The sequence below is a fragment of the Homo sapiens genome, chromosome 16 (assembly GCF_000001405.40).
Source record: "Homo sapiens chromosome 16, GRCh38.p14 Primary Assembly".
NCBI lineage: Eukaryota > Metazoa > Chordata > Mammalia > Primates > Hominidae > Homo > Homo sapiens.
In genome coordinates, this window is record NC_000016.10 from 87,935,144 (window position 1) to 87,954,003 (window position 18,860).

The 18,860-nt window shown below is 50.4% G+C and overlaps 2 protein-coding genes and 1 pseudogene across 36 annotated transcripts in view, besides 8 other annotated features; 1 reads left to right on the top strand and 2 right to left on the bottom strand.

The window, feature by feature from the left end:
* Positions 1 to 1,386, bottom strand: part of CA5A (carbonic anhydrase 5A) — a 54,981-nt gene extending 53,595 nt beyond the window's left edge. For all 7 annotated transcript variants that reach the window (NR_159799.1, NR_159798.1, NM_001367225.1 and 4 more), the window contains exon 1: positions 1,166 to 1,386. Coding sequence is in view for 5 of the 7 variants with exons in the window: in NM_001367225.1 (NP_001354154.1) it covers positions 1,166 to 1,307 (142 nt within the window). In the remaining 2 variants the exon portion in view is untranslated. The remainder of the gene's footprint in view (positions 1 to 1,165) is intronic.
* Positions 9,676 to 10,501, bottom strand: LOC107984816 (small EDRK-rich factor 1-like; annotated as a pseudogene).
* Positions 10,854 to 11,399: an enhancer, noted in NCBI's record as "H3K27ac-H3K4me1 hESC enhancer chr16:87979603-87980148 (GRCh37/hg19 assembly coordinates)". NCBI's record gives its function as "activates a minimal SCP1, AML or CMV promoter by ChIP-STARR-seq in primed H9 embryonic stem cells {active_cell/tissue: H9 hESC(primed)}" and the evidence as "EXISTENCE:reporter gene assay evidence [ECO:0000049][PMID:30033119]".
* Positions 14,095 to 18,860, top strand: part of BANP (BTG3 associated nuclear protein) — a 128,081-nt gene continuing 123,315 nt past the window's right edge. For 16 of the 29 annotated variants that reach the window (NM_001384939.1, NM_001384942.1, NM_001384943.1 and 13 more), the window contains exon 1: positions 16,291 to 16,372. The gene's annotated coding sequence lies outside the window, so the exon portion shown is untranslated. Of the gene's footprint in view, positions 14,619 to 15,317; positions 15,785 to 16,290; positions 16,373 to 17,037; positions 17,272 to 18,860 lie in introns of those variants that run through there. The other 13 variants (NM_001384941.1, NM_001384931.1, NM_001384936.1 and 10 more) reach the window with 4 other exon arrangements.
* Positions 15,647 to 15,956: an enhancer, noted in NCBI's record as "active region_11345". NCBI's record gives its function as "activates an Ori minimal core promoter by ATAC-STARR-seq in GM12878 lymphoblastoid cells {active_cell/tissue: GM12878}" and the evidence as "EXISTENCE:reporter gene assay evidence [ECO:0000049][PMID:35858748]".
* Positions 16,147 to 16,446: a silencer, noted in NCBI's record as "silent region_7843". NCBI's record gives its function as "represses an Ori minimal core promoter by ATAC-STARR-seq in GM12878 lymphoblastoid cells {active_cell/tissue: GM12878}" and the evidence as "EXISTENCE:reporter gene assay evidence [ECO:0000049][PMID:35858748]".
* Positions 16,147 to 16,858: a biological region, named in NCBI's record as "H3K27ac hESC enhancer GRCh37_chr16:87984965-87985607".
* Positions 16,216 to 16,858: an enhancer, noted in NCBI's record as "H3K27ac hESC enhancer chr16:87984965-87985607 (GRCh37/hg19 assembly coordinates)". NCBI's record gives its function as "activates a minimal SCP1, AML or CMV promoter by ChIP-STARR-seq in naive and primed H9 embryonic stem cells {active_cell/tissue: H9 hESC(naive and primed)}" and the evidence as "EXISTENCE:reporter gene assay evidence [ECO:0000049][PMID:30033119]".
* Positions 16,457 to 16,576: a silencer, noted in NCBI's record as "silent region_7844". NCBI's record gives its function as "represses an Ori minimal core promoter by ATAC-STARR-seq in GM12878 lymphoblastoid cells {active_cell/tissue: GM12878}" and the evidence as "EXISTENCE:reporter gene assay evidence [ECO:0000049][PMID:35858748]".
* Positions 16,607 to 16,666: a silencer, noted in NCBI's record as "silent region_7845". NCBI's record gives its function as "represses an Ori minimal core promoter by ATAC-STARR-seq in GM12878 lymphoblastoid cells {active_cell/tissue: GM12878}" and the evidence as "EXISTENCE:reporter gene assay evidence [ECO:0000049][PMID:35858748]".
* Positions 16,687 to 16,786: a silencer, noted in NCBI's record as "silent region_7846". NCBI's record gives its function as "represses an Ori minimal core promoter by ATAC-STARR-seq in GM12878 lymphoblastoid cells {active_cell/tissue: GM12878}" and the evidence as "EXISTENCE:reporter gene assay evidence [ECO:0000049][PMID:35858748]".

Consider the following 18,860-nt stretch of genomic DNA (forward strand, 5'->3'; position numbering starts at 1 on the left):
CTGGCTCCTAAGCCCATGCTCTTTCAATGGCCCAAACATGGAATGCATGGAAGATTTCAGTTAGAAGAGAACTTGGCAGCTGCCAAAGCAGGCTCTCATTCTACGGAGGAAGCACCTGAGACCCAGAAAGAGGAAGGGCCTCGTTCAAGGTCACAAGGCACTGACCATGAAGCCAGGAGGGGCTGGCACGGGGCAGTTTCTTGGCAGAGCTGGCTGAGTGGTTTATTTGTTACAGGTTTGCTTGAAAGCGTTCTCTGCCGAAGAGTTTAGGAGCGATCGTGACTGGTTAGTGCAGCCCATTCCGCCGGGTCTGGATGGTGAGTCGTGCCAGTGTGTCCCGTGCGAACACGGACTACCCGCCTGCTCCCAGCATCTTGCCCTCCCCAGGACCCCTGAAACGGAGGCTAAATGATTCACCCAAGGTCACCAAATACAAGAGAAACGGAGTGTGGCCAGGCGCGGTGGCTCACGCCTGTAATCCTAGCACTTTGGGAGGCCAAGGTGGGTGGATCACCTGAGGTCAGGAGTTCGAGACCAGCCTGGCCAACATGGTGAAACCCCATCTCTACCAAAATACAAAAAATTAGCTGGGTGCAGTGGCGGGTGCCTGTAGTCCCAGTTACTTTGGAGGCTGAGGCAGGAGAATCACTTGAACCTGGAGGGCAGAGGTTGCAGTGAGCCGAGATCATGCCATTGCACTCTAGCCTGGGCAAAAGAGCAAAACTTCATCAAAAAAAGAAAAAAGAGGGCCGGGCGCCGTGGCTGATGCCTGCAATCCCAGCACTTTGGGAGGCTGAGACAGGCGGATCGCGAGGTTAGGAGTTCGAGACCAACCTGGCTAACACAGTGAAACCCTGTCTCTACTAAAAATACGAAAAATTAGCCAGGAGTGGTGGCATGCACCTATAGTCCCAGCTACTCAGGAAGCTGAGGCAGGAGAATCGCTTGAACCCGGGAAGTGGAGGTTGTGGTGAGCTGAGATCACGCCACTGTACTCCAGCCTGGGCCACAGAGCGAGACGCCATCTTAAAAAAAAAAAAAAAAAAACGGAGTGGAAATCTGAACCCATCTGGCTCGGGACGGTCTCTCCTCTCTCCTCTCGAAAGACCCCATCAGCTAAGACAAGGATCCAGTCGCATCTTAGGAAATTTGAGGCTCTACTTACAAGTGTTATTGCTGGTTTGCCATGCACAGGAACGCTGAGAACACCATCGCCCTGGCCTCATCGAACGACTCCAGAGAGGGGCCCACATCTGCTCAACCAAGAAGGAGAAAGCTGAGGTCTTCCAAGTGTTCCTCCCCAACATCTTGGGTCTGTTCCCACTGACTCCAGTCTGAAGAGGGTGATGTTCCCTGCTGTCTGTTCTCACTTTGATCAGGACCACTGTGGACTGGCGTGTACCCACCTCTTTTTGTAGAAACTCATCCCAACCCCTGAGCCTAATGGTTAAAGTTCAACCCATGCCTTTCCCAACAGGGTGGGTCCACAGGGATTAGTGGCCTCTGCTGGGGACAGGCCACTCAGGTCACTGGGCTTTGATCTGGCAAACAGGAGCACAAGTCTGCCAGGGAGCTAGAAAAACTGTACGGTGGGGCTGCGTGAGCACCAGGGGATTACGCGGGAGGCGGGGGCGAGTGGATGAGAGCAGAGTCCCTGTTTCTTTCATGGGGTTGACCGTGTGGTTTGGGGCTCCGGGACACTCAATACCAGGCACAAAGCCATGGTGTGCATGTGAGGAGGGACTGGCAGGCAGGCTCAGAAGTACAGGAATGGGACTGGCCAAAGCGCTGCTGGGTAGACAGGCCAGGGGAGCAGGGAGCTTCTGTCCACCCACCAGGGCTCCTGAAGTCATGGAGTCCTTGCTTGCCTTAAAATAGGTGCGATTTGATTCATTCATCCTCCCCGGAAGCAAGATGCCCTGTGGCTTCGGACACTTCCAGGTCATGCCTGCTGTCTTGGCATAAACATTAACAGGGCCACCTTTCTTTCTTTCCTTTTCTTTTTTTTTTTAGACAGAGTTTCACTTCTGTTGCCCAGGCTAGAGTGCAATGGCGTGATCTCGGCTCACTGCTACCTCTGCCTCCCAGGTTCAAGCAATTCTCCTGCCTCAGCCTCCTGAGTAGCTGGGATTACAGGCGCCCACCACCATGCCCAGCTAATTTTTTGTATTTTTAGTAGAGATGGGGTTTCACCACGTTGGCCAGGCTGGTGTTGAACTCCTGACCTCAGGTGATCTGCCTGCCTCGGCCTCCCAAAGTGCTGGGATTACAAGTGTGAGCCACTACGCCCAGCCTCTTTTCTTCGTTTCTTTTCTTTTCTTTCTTTCTTTTTTTGAGATGGAGTCTCGCTCTGTTGCCCAGGCTGGAGTGCAATGGCGTGATCCTGCCTCACTGCAACCTTTGCCTCCCAGGTTTAAGCAATTCTCCTGTCTCAGCCTCCTGAGTAGCTGGGATTATAGGCACACACCACCACAACGGCCAATTTTTTGTATTTTTAGTAGAGACGGGGTTTCACTGTGTTCCCCAAGCTGGTCTCGAACTCCTGAGCTCAGGCAATCCACCCACCTCGGCCTCCTAAAGTGCTAGGATTACAGGCATGAGCCACTGCGTCCAGCCTCTTTTCTTTTCTTTCTTTCTTTCTTTCTTTCTTTCTTTCTTTTTTTTTTTTTTTTTGAGGTGAGGTCTTGCTCTGTCACCCAAGGTGGAGTGCGGTGGTGCCATCATGGCTCACTGCAGTCTCAATCACCCAGGCTCAAGTGATCCTCCCTCCTCAGCCTCCCAAGTAGCTGGGACTATAGGTGCATGCCATTATGTCCAGCTAATTTTAAAAATTATTTGTAGAGGCAGGTTCTCGCCATGTTGCCCAGGCTGGTCTTGAACTCCTGGGCTCAAGCAATCCTCCCAGAGTGGCCTCCCAAAGTGCTCGGATTACAGGCATGAGCCACTGCCCCTGGCCTGGTACCTCCCTTCATGCCCAGGGTCCACATGGGTATGTTAGCTGGTCACTCTAGCCAGGCAGCTGGTGATATTTGCAGACGCCAACCCACAAAGAACCTTCCTTTGGGTCCTTTGAGCGGCACAGCAGTTTATTCACCCAGACACCTTTTACCTGTGAAATGGAACCCATGGGATTGGGATGCACCAGTTTGTGACTTCTTGTTGTTGTTTAAACTTACAATCTTTTAGGGGGCAGGGCTATCATAACTTTTCATAGAATCCTGGAATCTTAGATCTAGAAAACCCTACAGAACACAGGTGTTGAAATGCGAGTCCACTTGTAGGCTCCTGAAAGCCCAAGAATCCCACTGAAATCCCCCACACAATGGATAGGGTCTGCGGCTTTCGGCCACTGCTCTGGTGGGCCCAAGAGTTTGCTTGCATTTGTTTTGAGCAACAAAAACCAAGTCTGGATGATATGTTCTCTCCTTCCCACACAGTCATGGTGGAAATGCACCCACTCTTGGGAAGTCTGATTCATTGTCATTCATTCATTGACCCACTCACTCATTCATTGACTCACTCACTCACTCATTGACTCACTCACTCATTCACTCACTCACTCATTCATTCACTCACTCATTCATTCTCTCACTCAGTCAATCATTCATTCACTCATTCATTCATTCATTCACTCACTCATTCACTCACTTATTCATTCACTCACTCATTCACTCATTCACTCATTCATTCACTCATTCACTCATTCATTCATTCACTCATTAATTCATTGGCTTTTGCCTCCATTTCCTCATCTGTAAAGTAGGGAAGATTCTAGGATTCCATCATACACGATAACACTCTGTCGAGCTGTTGTTGACACAAGTGATGTCCTTAGAGCGGCACTTTCATTGCTGCAGGCCAAGCTCCCACCCCAGGCATTGCCAGCCCCATGTGAGCAGGGGCATCTCCTGAGTACACTCACCTGGGCAGCCGATGATGCCCCACAGGCTCCTGGGGCATGTCCTCTGCCATCCTCAGCCGTCCTGCCCTCTTCAGCCTGCCCAGTTTAGGTTGACTGCGTTGCAGCAGTACCCGTGGGCTGGGGGTCTCCCTGTCTTCCTCATCTCCCTGCTGCCCCATGGCAGGACTCTGCTTTACTTACAAAATATCACCAGCCCCAGTGTATTAATCAGGGTTCTCCAGAGAGACAGAACCAATGGGATAGACAAACAGATAGATAGATTAGAGAAAGAGAGAGAGAAAGAGATGATAGATAGATAGATAGATGATAGATTAGAGAGAGATGATAGCTAGATAGGTAGACAGATGACAGACAATAGATAGGTAGATAGATAGGTAGATAGATGGTAGATAATGGATAGATGAAGAAAGATGATTGGTAGGTAGATAGATGGTAGGTAGATGAGAGCTAGATGATAGATGACAGGTAGACATGTTACCAGATGGAAAGTCTTAACTTCGAGTTGTCCAGGTTCTTGGTGTGTTAAAGAATTGAGCAAAACACACAAACAAAGCAAGAAAAGAACAAGCAAGTGGCTCAAGAACCCTGATTACCATGTTCTTCAGGGTTTTTATTAAGCTAAAAGAATTTGGTAACACCCCCAGGTGCCCTTTAGAGGGCTCCAATTGGTTACATCCTATGAAGGATTGGCCCCTGACCAATCAGAGGCAGAAGTGGAGGCTTCTGTTCTGTTACCGCAGTAGTGAGACTGTGGCCCGTGTGCCGCCCAATCTTGCCTGGAACCGGCTGCTCCTGCTGCTCTTTTGCTTCTGCCTTAAACCTGGGTTACCCTCATTCCCTATTCTCCCGCCTCAGGTAGGTGATAGATAGAAATAAAGAGATAAATGATAGGTAGATCGATAGATAGATAGATAGATAGATAGATAGATGAATGAGAGGACATTAATTAGGGGAATTGGCCCATATGACTATGGAGGCTGAGAAGTTCCAGGACAGGCCACTGCAAGCTGGAGACCCTGGGGTGCTGGTAGCATGGCTCAGTCCAAGTCCGAAGGCCTCAGAACCAGGGAAGCTGAGGGTGTAACTCTCAGTCCAAGGCCAAAGGCCTGAGAACCCTGGGGCAGAGGGTGGCATTGGTGTAAGTCCTGGAGTCCCATGGCCGGGGAGCTGGGCGTTGTCCAAGGGAAGGAGAGGAAGCGCACGCCCCAGTCCGGCAGATGGACAGACACATTCACCTTTTCTCTGTTTTTGTTCTCTCTGGGTCCCAGCAGATTGGATGGTGCCACCCACATCCAGGTGGAACAGGAATTAAAACAAATTAAAGAATATGTAAGCAGAAACTCAGTTGTATGTAAGAAAACCCAATTCCCCCTGAGAAAGAGAAAGTGCTGAAGTCCTTTAAAATTAACTGCCTGTTTTTCTGTGGCTAGTGAGCCTTCTCTCTCCCTTTCCCAGGCATTGCGAAGACCCTGTTTCTCTAGCCGTGCAGCTGCAAGGTCATAAACAGATAAACTCAAGTCGCAACGCATGTTTTTCCTTGAAAAGTAAGAAATGATGTAACGCATGTCTCAATTAATTGAATAACTGTCTTTGTTTCTCGCTTCTGCAACGTGCTTCCCCCTACACAGATCTCCCTCCACCCCACGAAATGCTTAAAAGGTAACTTAAGCTCTTTGTTCAGGGCTCAGTCCTTTGGATGTTAATCCGACTGGGCCGGTGCACCTAAATAATAAATATCTTTTTTTTTTTTTTTTTTTTTTTTTTTTTGAGACGGAGTCTCACTCTTTCGCCCAAGCTGGACTGCAGTGGCGCTATCCCGGCTCACTGCAAGCTCCGCCTCTTGGGTTCATGCCATTCTCCTGCCTCAGCCTCCCGAGTAGCTGGGATTACAGGCGCCCGCCACCATGCTCGGCTAATTTTTTGTATTTTTAGTAGAGACGGGGTTTCACCATGTCGGCCATGATGGTCTCGATCTCCTGACCTCGTGATCCGCCCGCCTCGGCCTCCCAAAGTGCTGGGATTACAGGTGTGAGCCACCGTGCCCGGCCGGTTAGCAGTTTCTTATGGTTCTTTTTGGGAATTTCCATATCAGAAATCTCTTACATATGTATTCTCTTTTTAAATACAGGAAATAATTATGTATAGAGGATATGTACTTATAGAAACACATATATATGCCACCTACTAATTTATCCGGAATAATTTTTATATCAGTGTATATAGCTCTTCCCTTCTTTTAAAGAAATAACTACAAAATATTCCACTGACATATTACCATAATTTATTAAATTACCTCTCTTATAGATGGTGTACATAGCTCTTCTTTTAAAGAAATAACTACAGAATGTTCCACTAAAATAAGTACCAGCTGGGTGTGGTGGCTCACGCTTGTAATCCCAGCACTTTGGGAGGCCAAGACGGGTGGATCACTTGAGGTCAGGTGTTCAAGACCAGCCTGGCCAACATGGTGAAACCCCCGTCTCTACTAAAAATAGAAGAATGAGCCGGGTGTGGTGGCGCACGCCTGTAATCCCAGCTACTTGGAAGGCTGAGGCAGGAGAATCACTTGAGCCTGGGAGGCAGAGGTTGCAGTGAACTGAGATCGTGCCACTGCACTCCAGCCAGGGTGACAGAGCAAGACTCTGTCTCAAAAAAATAAAAATAAAAATAAATATATATATATCTCATAATTTATTAAATTAATTATCTTACAGTGTTTTTCCTTTTTTTTTTTTTTTTGAGACAGTCTTGTTCTGTCGCCCAGGCTGGAGTATAGTGGTGCGATCTAGGCTCACTGCAACCTCGGCCTCCCAGGCTCAAGTGATTCTCCTGCCTCAGTCTCCCAAGTAGCTGGGATTACAGGCATTGCCCACCATACCTGGCTCATTTTTGTATTTTTGGTAGAGATGGGGTTTCACCATGTTGCCCAGGCTGGTCTCGAACCCCTAGCCTCAAGTGATCTGCCCGCCTCGGCCTCCCAAAGTGCTGGGATTGCAGGTGTGAGCCATTGTGCCAAGCTGTTTTTCTAGTTTTTATGGTTTTTTTTTTTTTGGTCTTATAATTAACATTGCACTTGGCCAGGTGCAGTGGCTCACGCCTGTAATCCCAGCCCTTTGGGAGGCTGAGGCAGGCGGATCACCTGAGTTTGGGAGTTCGAGATCAACCTGACCAACACGGCGAAAACCCGTCTCTACTAAAAATACAAAAATTAGCCGGGCGCAGTGGTGGCACCTGTAATCTCAGCTACTCGGGAGGTTGAGACATTAGAATAGCTTGAACCCGGGAGGCGGAGGTTGCAGTGAGCCGAGATTGCACCATTGCACTCTAGCCTGGGCAACAGAGCAAGACTCCGTCTCAAAAAAAAAAAAAAAACCCTGAAAAACAAAAATCAAACAAACAAAAAAATTAACACTGCACTGAATATCCTTGAATAGAATTCCTAGGTTTGACATACATAGGTCAAAGGGTAAATCCACTGAACTGCTGATAGATGTGCCAAGTTACTCAGGCAAGGGATTGTGCTCTCACCTGCTCACCTTGTATTCTGGGCCAAAATGTCTTATATGTATCCAACCCAACACTTCCTAATTTCTTAGTTTCTACCTCCCACAGAAAACACCGTATAGTCTGTAATTTTCTGCCAGAGTTGAAAATTTCTCATGCAGAGTCATGATGGTAACTTTTGTCAACCCGGCTGGGCCATGGTGCCCAGATATTTGGTGGACCATTATTCTAGATGTTTCCATCAGTGTGTTTTTTGAATGTGATTAACATTTATACCTCAGTGAACGTTGAATAAAGCAGATTACCTTCCACAATGTGGGTGGCTCTCACCTAATCAGTTGAAGGCCTTAATAGAACAAAGACTGACCTCCCTCCCTATTCCCCCAAACCCCCTCTCCCACCCCCCATTGAGAAGGAATTCTGCCAGCAGGTGCCCTTTGGACTTGAACTGCGACTCTCTCGTCAGATTTGGGGCTTGTCAAGCCTCCCCAATTGCATAGGGCAATTCCTCAAGATAAATCTGACAAATCTCCCTCTCTCTCCCCATGTATAGATAGATAGGTAGCTAGGTGTAGGTTTACTTACACACACACACACTACACACACACACACACATCCTGTTGGTCTGTTTCTGTGGAGACCCTTACAGGAGTTAATAAAAATCCATAACTAAAGGAGATTTTTTCATTCTTTTTTTTTTCTTGTCGTTTTGAGATGGAATCTCGCTCTGTAGCCCAGGCTGGAGTGCAGTGGCATGATCTCGGCTCACTGCAACCTCTGCCTCCCGGGTTCCGGTTCAAGCAATTCTCCTGCCTCAGTCTCCCGAGTAGCTGGGATTACAGGCACCCACCACCATGCCCAGCTAATTTTTGTATTTTTAGTAGAGACGGGGTTTCACCATGTTGGCCAGGCTGGTCTTGAACTCCTGACCTCGTGACCCACCCGCCTCGGTCTCCCAAAGGGCTGGGATTACAGGCATAAGCCACTGCATCCGGCCTTCATTTCTTAAATTAGAAGGTAGGAGATCAAGAAACTGCTCCTCTCTGCCTGTTTACAAACATTCTTCATATTTGAACCCAAAATGTTTAAGTCAAACCTTCTTTAACTGCTTTTTTCTAAAATGGACCACGTGTACCCAGATAACCCTTCCACGTGCAGAAGACTGAAATTTCTATTCTTATTTTTTTCTCACCTATTAAGATTTTCTGTTTTTCATATGTTCCGTAAAGCACACACTACGTTAGTACCTAACACACAGATGTAAATTTACATGTATACATGTTCATGGCAAGTGTGTGTGAGTGAGTGAGAGAGGCCTAGAGCCCACCATTCTCTGAGAACCCTCAAATTTCTCTGCATCACTTTTTGAAATAGGGCTTTATTCTCATGTGATAGAAATTTAAAGTCATTTCTTTTTTTTTTTTTTTTTGAGACAGAATTTCACTCTTGTTGCCCAGGATGGAGTGCAGTGGTGCAATCTCGGCTCACCGCAACCTCCTTCTCCCGCGTTCAAGTGATTCTCCTGCCTCAGCCTCCCGAGTAGCTGGGATCAACAGGCATGAGCCACCACGCCTGGCTAATTTTGTATTTTCAGTAGAGACGAGGTTTCTCCATGTTGCTCAAGTTGCAAAACATGTTTTTCTTTGAAAAGTAAGAAACGATGTAATGCATGTTGCAAACTCCTGATCTCAGGTGATCTGCCCGCCTCAGCCTCCCAAAGTGCTGGGGTTACAGGTGTGAGCCACCGTGCCCGGCCAGAAGTTGAAAGTCATTTCTAAATGCGCTGCCTGCGCTCCATAGTACTCTGTGATCTCAAAATGATACACTGTCCATGAAGAAATGCTATTTTAGGTGAAAAAATCAAATAGGAAAAACTTGCATTGGACAAAATCCTTCAAAACACACAGAAGTTTCTGCACGAGTTTTGGTCACAGTAATTTCTTTTGCTGAGCCACTGGACTTTTTTTTTTCCATGGTTAGTGTTTTATTTTTATTATTTATTTATTATTATTTTTTTTTGAGATGGAGTTTCGCTCTTGTTGCCTAGGCTGGAGTGCAATGGCGCGATCTCGGCTCATCGCAACCTCTGCCTTCTGGGTTCAAGCCATTCTCCTGCCTCAGCCTCCCTAGTAGCTGGGATTACAGGCATGTGCCACCACGCCTGGCTAATTTTGTATTTTTTTTTAGTAGAGATGGGGTTTCTCCATGTTGGTCAGGCTGGTCTCGAACTCCCGACCTCAGGTGATCCACCCATCTCGGCCTCCCAAAGTGCTGGGATTATAGGCATGATACACCGCGCCCGGCCTAGTGTTTTATTCTTTGAAGAATGCTTCTAAAACATCGCGCCAAGTCAATCTGAAAGGTAAAGTTTAAAATCTTTTTAAAGGATAAGTTATATGTAATGACTGTTCACTCTACAAAATCTTAATCTTAGGGCTTATGAGGCACCCAGTTGGCAGTAACATCCAGGTTTTCCAAATAGCCAGTTATCATTTTTCTCGTCTGCATAGATTTCTCATTAACTGCCTCCTGTTTTGTTGCATGATCTCAGAGTCCCCCTGCTTTCTCTGAGAGGTGGTCAAGCTATCCTCTTTTCTTCTTCGCTTGCTAATTTCCTGGGTTTTCTTCATGTTTTCTGGCGGGCAAGTTCTCGTTGATTTCCACGGACCATGCCGACCACCGACAGAGCCAGGAAGAAAGCAAGTCGGAAAAGCAACGGTTCCCTGGCACGCTGGGCTACCGTCACTGCTGCTGGATTTTTTATGGGTCCATTTCCCGCAGGCGTTTTTTACTGATTGCGTGGGTTTGTACACCTGTTTCCCCCACCTGCTTCACAGCGGCAACTTCTCATTAATAAGGACTCAAACGCTCAGTAGCCCCTGTTGAGATGCTAATCAGCTGTCTGGCTTGGGTGGCCTGGATTAATTGCACCGTACGCAGCCTCTCCTGAGGAGTTCGCATCAACGGCTGCTCCCATTCTCAGACAGGAGGACAGAGCTGCCAGCCGGACAGAACGTCAGTGCTGACGTCAGCGTTCACGTGTGCAGGAGGAGAGCCCTGAGGGACCCCGCTGGGGACTGGTGCTGTTTCTGCCTGCGCACACCCAGCTCTTCTCCCTGGCAGCTGCTGGGTTTGCTCTGGGAGACCAGCCCTCCCCACCCGCCCTCCACGAGGCTGGGCCAGGCTGACCCCTCCCCCAGACATGTCTCAGGACTGGCCACTCGGAGTGGGGGTCATTGCCGGGTACACAGTCTGGCCAGTAAGCATCGCCCCCGGGAGCCTTGCTGGAATGATGAGAAAAGAGGCCCTCTCTCTCCCAGGGAATGGTTGAACTGGAAAAACCTGTTGGTAGTTGCGGGGACCCCTTCATGAGATCCTGCTCAGGAATGGGGAAAAACCAGCCAGGTGAGGTGGTTCATGCCTGTAATCCCAGCACTTTCAGATGAAGTAGGTGGGAGAATCACTTGAGCCCAGGAGTTCGAGACCAGCCTGGCCAATATGGCGAAACTCCCTCTCTACCAAAAAAATACAAAAATTATAGCAAGGCTTGGTGGCAGGCGCCTGTAATCCCAGCTACTCGGGAGGCTGAGGAAGGAGAATCACTTGAACCTGGGAGGCGGAGGGTGCAGTGAGCCAAGATCGCGCCATTGCACTTCAGCCTGGGTGACATAGCGAGACTCCGCCTAAAAAAAAAAATGGGGAAAAACCAAGCCCACAGATGGGAAGGGCGGGGTGGAGAGAGAGAGAGACAGAGTTAGAGACAGAGATGAGAGAGTCTGTGCAGTGGACTCCCGGGGGTTTCTGGAGCCACTGAACCTGGCCCCACTCCTGGAGGTGCAGGCTTTGGTGTTTTCAGAGGGTCTCATATCAGCCCAGATTGAGAAGTGACCACGAAGGCTGCTTGGCCATATGTTTGGCCAAGACAAAGGAGAAATCAGCCAAATTGCTGGGCCTAAGCAATGCCACTCTCTCTCTCTCCTCTCTCTTTCAAATGCATGTTACTACGCAGATAGTAAGGGTCTCTGTGACCTTTACAAATGGCCTGGTGCACACACGTGTAAGCGGCCCCCATATTTGAGGCCTTGCTGATCCACTTTACAAGTGAGGAAGGTAAGGTACAGGAAGCGTAGGTTGTTTCTCCAGTTTCAGAGGGCACCGTATCCACACAGCAGTGACTGGGTAGGTCCTGGTCTCTCTCGACAGCCCAGAGTGTGTGGCCTGTCCCCGGAGAGGGTGGGATCCACGCCAGGAGGGGCTGAGTGGTGCTGACTGCCACCCCCTCCCATCACCCCTGGATCATCATCTTGTTTTCCAGTGGGGTCTCCTTTCAGGGCTCTAGTTCACCCCAAAGCTGACCTCTTCCAGTGAGACCTTCAAACCCTTACAGTGCCCTTGCATGAAGTGGCAAAGTCAGGGGAGGGGTGGAGAGTGGAGGATGAATTACAGAAGGAGCCCCCCTGGGGGGAACAATTGCAAAGATGTGTTTTCAGGGACAGTCCTCACGACCGTGGGCGGTAGCCATGACGTCCGGTCTCCCATCTCCTGGAGCTGTGCATCCACCATCCAGTACAGCACCTGGACACTCCCTCTCCCTTAGCAGTCCCCAGCATCGGGCTCATGGGCAAGTCCTGTGGATTTCACTCTGTGGAACCTCTCCAATCTGTCCATTTCTCTTCATCCTGTCTGCACTGCAACCCCCTGCAGCAAGCCTCCGTCTCTCACTTGGAGCCTGTCACAGCCTTCTCCACTGCTCTCCTCAAATTCATGCAGGATAATGTATTTCCTCCTCCCATTCCTTTTCCAGCACTCCAGCCAGATGGACTTTTCTTTTTTTTTGAGACAGAGTCTCGCTCTTGTTGCCGAGGCTGGAGTGCAATGGCGCGATCTTGGCTCACCGCAACCTCCACCTCCTGGGTTCAAGCGGTTCTCCTGCCTCAGCCTCCCGAGTAGCTGGGATCACAGCCATGCGCCACCACACCCGGCTAATTTTGTACTTTTAGTAGAGACGGGGTATCACCATGTTGGTTGGGCTGGTTGCGAACTCCCGACCTCAGGTGAGCTGCCCGTCTTGACCTCCCAAAGTGCTGGGATTACAGGTGTGAGCCACTGTGCCAGGCCGCCAGATGGACTTCTCAAAACACAAATCTGATCCTACCCACTCTGGCCCCAAACTTTGTAAAGTCTTCCCCATTGCCTCAGGAGCAAGACGACACCCCTTCCTCGCTGACAAGGACGCAGTTGTGCCTTCACTACCTTTGCTGCCACATCTCACCACCTGCCTCCTCTCGTCTCTACCCCCACTGTGGCTGTGTGACCCCAGGTGTATTGCTCAACCTCTCGTGTCTTCCTGTTCTTCACAAAGAATAGGAATTACAGTGAAATGTGCCTGGCTCATGGGCACCCAGCCCATGGTAACATGAGCACATCCGGAATCAGACTCTCTACTAAACGCTTCATCACCTCCATGCCATGGACCCCTCCCAATATCCCTGTGAGCTGTGAGATCTAAACACCAGTTCCCAGAGTGGGAAGCGAGGCCTGAGAGCCTCAGCAACTTGCCCAGGGAAGGCTCAGACTCTAGCCCTGGCCGGGCAAACTCCAAGTCCTCGCACTTAAGAACAACCAGGCTCAGCGTTCCAGCATTCCACTCGGCCTCCTGGGCTTTTCCTGGGCCACCGAGTGCATCGTGTTTACTTTCTCTTTCTCTACCCTAGTGACATTCTCAGAAAGAGGAACCGTCGGAAGGTTCCAGGGTTTTCTTGATGTGGGCATTTCGAGGTGTTGACAAAAGGACCTCTGTGACCTTTACTTATGGCCTAGTGCACACACTTGTAAGTGGCCCCCATATCTGGTGCCACACAGGCCAGAGTGCACTTCCCGCTCCTCTTATAATGCCCTCACTAATGTGACTGTAACTTCATTAACTCCAGGCCAGATTGGATCCTTGTACCGACTGGTGAGTAAGCGAACCTTCACTACAGACAGCTGTCTTTGCTGATGACTAGCTACTTCATTTTTAAAATTACGGTGAATCAACTATATGCCAATATTGAACAATGCCTTCCTTTTTTAGCTTCCTGAGCAGCAAAATAAAAACTAAATCAAAACCATCAAAAATAAAAAAGTGTAGTAGCTCATGCCTGTAACCCTAACACTTTTTGGGAGGCTAAGGCGGTAGGACCGCTTGAGTCCAGGAGTTCAAGACCAGCTTGGACAACATATTGAGACCTCTGACTCTACAAAAAATAAAAAAAAATCAGGCAATGGTGGTGGTGCATGCCTGCAGTCCCAGCTACTCTGGAGGCTCAAGCGAGAAGATCACTTAAGCCCGAGAGGTAGAGGCTGCAGTGAGCTCTGATTGTACCATCGCACTCCAGCCTGGATGGCAGAGCAAGACCCTGATGCAAACAAAACAAAACAAAACAAAACAAAACAAAACAAAACAAAACAAAACAATCACTAACTGCAGCACAATCATAGTTTTGATTGGCTTAATTTCTGATAATGCCTAGTCAGCAGTGGCCTTCAACAAACCTCACTGTAGCTTGTTGGATGGTCACAGATGGATTCACCTTTGCCCACAAGTTCCTCCTCTTGTCCACTCACACCTGTTCATGACGCCGAGCCCAGCATTGCACAAGGCCTGGGGATAGGGGAAGTGCAGCTCCAGACACGGACTTGGGAATGTTTTGAAACAACAGGAACGACATCACCCTAGGTTTGTGTTTTCAAGCCAGATATTCCGGCGTGGATGCTAAGAATTCTTACATGGGCAAGTATTAATATTTGAATGCAGCCGTGATTGAGGTGGAGGTGGAGACAAAAGGCGTGCGTCCCTAGAACATGTTTTGTCCCCACTGCCGGAGGGAATATTCTGTGTCAGCTATCGCACGCACCCTTTCCCTCCATGTGAGTGGACTCCACACTCTAAGCAAGGCGCTCTGGACTGCAAACTCAGCTTGTGCCTCTCTCCAGCCCTGTGGCCTCGCTGGACAATTTTTCTAATCTCTTTGGAGCTGATCTTCATGTTGAAAAAGGACAAGTCCCATCTTCAGATCAACACCTGTCCCAGCGCTGCCATTTTGCCAAGGCTCCTCCTTGGAGTGTTTGTAAGGCACTTTTGCCACGAAGTAACCCAGCCACCAGCCTCAGTGGAACCTCCAAGCCTAATTCTGGAGGAGACTTTAACTCGGTAAGGTTGCCCAAGGTCGCATAGCCCATGACTGCGCTGAATCCTGTTTTTATTATTGGCAAAAGGGAGTTGGGCAGGAAATTCAAGGTAAAGCATTTTGTTTTTCTTTCTTTCTTTTTTTTTTTTTTTTTCTTGAGACGGAGTCTCGTTCTGCTGCCCAGGCTGGAGTCCAGTGGCGCCATCTCGGCTCACTGCAAGCTCCGCCTCCCGGGTTCACGCCATTCTCCCGCCTCAGCCTCCCGAGTAGCTGGGACTACAGGCGCCTGCCACCGCGCCGGGCTAATTTTTTGTATTTTTAGTAGAGACGGGGTTTCACCGTGTTAGCCAGGATGGTCTCGATCTCCTGACCTCGTGATCCACCCGCCTCGGCCTCCCAAAGTGCTGGGATTACAGGCGTGAGCCGCCGCGCCCGGCCAGCATTTTCTTTTTCCCAGTGAAAATAGCTGCCTCGCCCTGTGTTTGGGAGCTCAAAGGCATTCTTGCTCATTGCAAATAATTGAGGAAACAGAGGCGAGTATAAAGAAGAAAATGAAAGGCAAGGTAATCCTAGATTAGCAGAGGGAGATAACCAGGAATGACATTTCTGGGAACTGCGCTATGGTTTGGGAATTTTTTCCTGTGATTACCCACAAACGCACATTTGCACATTTATTCTACGTGTGCACATTCACGTCATCACTTTTTTTTTTTTTGAGACAGAGTCTCGCTCTGTCGCCAGGCTGGAGTGCAGTGGCGCGATCTCGGCTCACTGCAACCTCTGACTCGCGGGCTCAAGCGATTCTCCTGCCTCAGCCTCCCGAGTAGTTGGGATTACAAGGCGCCCGCCACCACGCCCGGCATAATTTTGTATTTTTAGTAGAGACAGGGTTTCGCCATGTTGGCCAGGCTGGTCGCGAACCCTTTACCTCAGGTGTTCCGCCCGCCTTGGCCTCCCACAGGGCTGAGATTACAGGCGTGATCCACCGTGCCCGGCCGCCATCACTTATTTATATTATGTGTTACCTATAGGACTTATCTAAGACCATAATCACTGCCGCGTGTGCTAAGTCCCGCGCGCGTGCACTCAGGCCCCTCTGGATAGACACTGGGGACCCCTGACCACTTATGTCAGGGAAAACGCCACCAAGCGCTCCGGAACCTCAGGGCAGGACCCGCCGCAGCAGCAGGTAGGACCCGCTGGGGGCGCACAGCCCACCTGAGACATCGTAACTACAAGTCCCAGCAACCCTTGGTGCGGGGACAGGACGGGCCACCGGAGTCCGGAGAGACTACAAGTCCCGGCAGGCATGGCCCAGACGCAGGGACTACGAGTCCCCGAATGCATGGCTCCCAGCTTGCGCAGGGCACCCTGGGAGGTGTAGTAGTTGAGGGAGCTAATGCGTATTCATTCCGTCTCAAAGAAGATGCAAATTCCTCAGACCGTCCACTGAGGTGATTGTTCTCACGCAGGCCATGGGCGTGGGCGAAAAACGGGGGGAAAAAAGCCCTGGGAAGCCGGTACCGTCGCGGAAGAAGGCCGCCTGCGCATGCTCACCAGGAGGCCGAGCGGGAAAAGCGCGCGCAGCTGGCCTCACTGCCACAGGGGTGCCCCGCCCCCGGGCCCGCGCGCCCAGTGAGCCTGCGCGGAGGGCGGGGGCCGAGCGTCGCGGGGAGGGGCTCGCGGCGCCTGCGCAGAGCGGCGGCTTCTCTCGCGAGGACGGACGCCATTATCGCATCTCCCCGACAAACACCACGAGAATTCCGCAGCCCACACGGTAATTGCAGCTCCCGCAGCCGGTCGCGCCTCCGCCTCCCCCTTCCCGCGGGGCGAGAGCGAGAGCGAGATCTCCCTCCTCCCTCCTCCTCCCGCCCGCCGGGCCGCCCGCGCCGCAGCCCCGCCGCCGCCAACCGCCCGGGCCGGGCGATCGCCCCCCGGGCCCCGCTCCCCGTCCCCGGCCGCGCCCCGGAAGAGGGGCTCCCGCTTCCTCGCTTCCGCACCCCCGGCCCCACCGCGCCCGGCGTCCGTTGAGCCGCGGCTGCCGCAGCCCGGCCCGGGGGCCTCGCGCTCCCGACCTCTGTCCCGGGCCTCGCCCCGCGGGAAGGACCCGGAGCCACGGCGGGGAGACTGGAAAGGCCTAGAACCGCGCCCGGGCTCCTCTGGGGCCCGAAGTCTCCCAAGGGGGTCGCTCCTGCCAGCCAGGCGGGAGCGACAGGCATCGTTTTTGTGCCTCCTCCGTGGCTGTGGACCGGAGCCCCATAGCCCAGGACTTGCACACGCAAGGGGCGCTCTCGGGGACCGCAGACCTCGGCGACGACCCCAGCCCGTCCCCCGAGGGGCCCCGATGAACGAGGACCTCGGGGTGCCCCCTCCCCAGCACGTTTGTGCGATTTCTGTGATCTAGTCCTTAAGGAAGGTGGCCGTTTTCTTTTTCCCCCCTAGGATGCAGAAAGTAGATGACATTCCATCCACACTGTGTGAGCAAATTGGAGAGATTGCCTTGATAGAGGACTGATGTTTTTCACTGATGAGATGGTAGGGGTTGTCTTGCTATTGGAGAAATACATCATCCCTGAAGAACTGTGAGCAAGTGGAGCGAGTGTGGGCTTTGAAGGGTAGCGAGCTTGCACCCTGACCGGGGAGGGCCCGGGTCACACAGTTGTTGATGTGGAACAGGTAATTGCCCTGTTTGGAGTTGCCTGTTCTGCCCAGGAATGTACTCCAGGGCCTGATGGCGATGCTGGAACTCGCACTACAGTAAATAATTGATAAGAGGAGGCAGTTGTAGGGTTCACTTTTAGCTGGAAGTTCTTAGGGGACAGAAAAATAACTTGGAGTAGTGAGTGGTTCTGAGTAAGCTCAGGAAACGTCAAATAAAAACTGGATCTGGTCATTTAACACGCAGCTCGCAGATATCCAGTGCTAGAAGAAAACACCAAAACGCGGTAAAATTCTGTATGTGGGTCCACTTCCCGTGTCTGGCGATTAAAATAAGAATATATTCTTGCGATGTTGGATTCTGTCATCATTGGCGTTAATATTTTTATTTTTTTGGAGATAGGGTTTCACTCGGTCCCCGAGACTGGAATGCAGTATCGTGATCTTGGCTCACTGCAGCCTCGGCCTCCCTGGCTCAAGTGATCCTCCCACCGCAGCCTCCTGAGTAGCTCGGACCACAGACGCCACCACCCCGGCTAATTTTTGTATTTTTCGTAGAGAGGGGGTTTCGCCTTGTTGTCCAGCCTGGGGCTTTAATCTTTTTAAAAAAGAGCTTCCATTTGTGATTCCACGCTGCGTGGGGGCAGCTCAACATCTCGGGTGCTTCATCATGACCCAGGAGGCAGAGGCTGCGTCCACTTTATAGATGAGGTGACTAGGCCCGCAGACACTAAGGGACTTGCTCAGATTTACAGAGCCAGGGTTCGAATTCAGTCTGTCTGAAGCCTATGTTCTTAAAAAAAAAAGCCCATATATTTAGTATTTTAATCAATATAATGTATACAATAGGAACGTCAATGAAAGACTTACAATGAAAAGCAATGGTCCCCTGCCCCACCTCTCAGCCCCGTTCTTCAAAGAGGTTTACATCTTGAGTGGTTTCTTTAGGTCATTCTCCACAGCTCTGAGTAAGCTGATCCTTTTTATTTTTTTCTTGAGATAGGATCCCCTGATGTTGCCCAGGCCGTACTCGAACTCCTGAGCTCAAGTGATCCTCAGCCTCCTTAGTAGCCGCTAATACAGGTGTGAGTGACTGCACCTAGCTCTAAGCTGATATTTTGTATTACACAGCCTTGTCTTTCTATTACGATGGGGTGATGGAGCCCTTCTGTCATATCCCAACTCTTCTATCCCCTGGACTGTCTGTGTTAGGCCTATGCAAATACTGTTCTCTTCACGGACAAATTGAGTGTTTCCCTTCCTGTACAGCGTGGATTTTTCTGTTAGTCATGGCTTTTCTCTTGGCACTTTCTGTTCCCATCGACTCCTTACATTGTTTTAAATTCTCAAGGATAGTGTCAGGTCCCCTTTCTCCTTCAGCCCCTGTCCTTCTCATCTGGATGGGTTAGCTTGCACACGAGCCAGCCTGATATTTTCCTTTCTTCTGTAGCTGGGTATGTTCAGGAATGTTTTCATCTTGGCTCTGTTCGTTTCCACAGGAACCTCTGGCAAGTGCTCTTCCTCCTTGTGGAGACCCCTCTCCCTCCCTGAACGCTCTTGGATCTTCTCTTTGGTGTTAATGATGTTTTACCCTTGTGTGTGCTGAG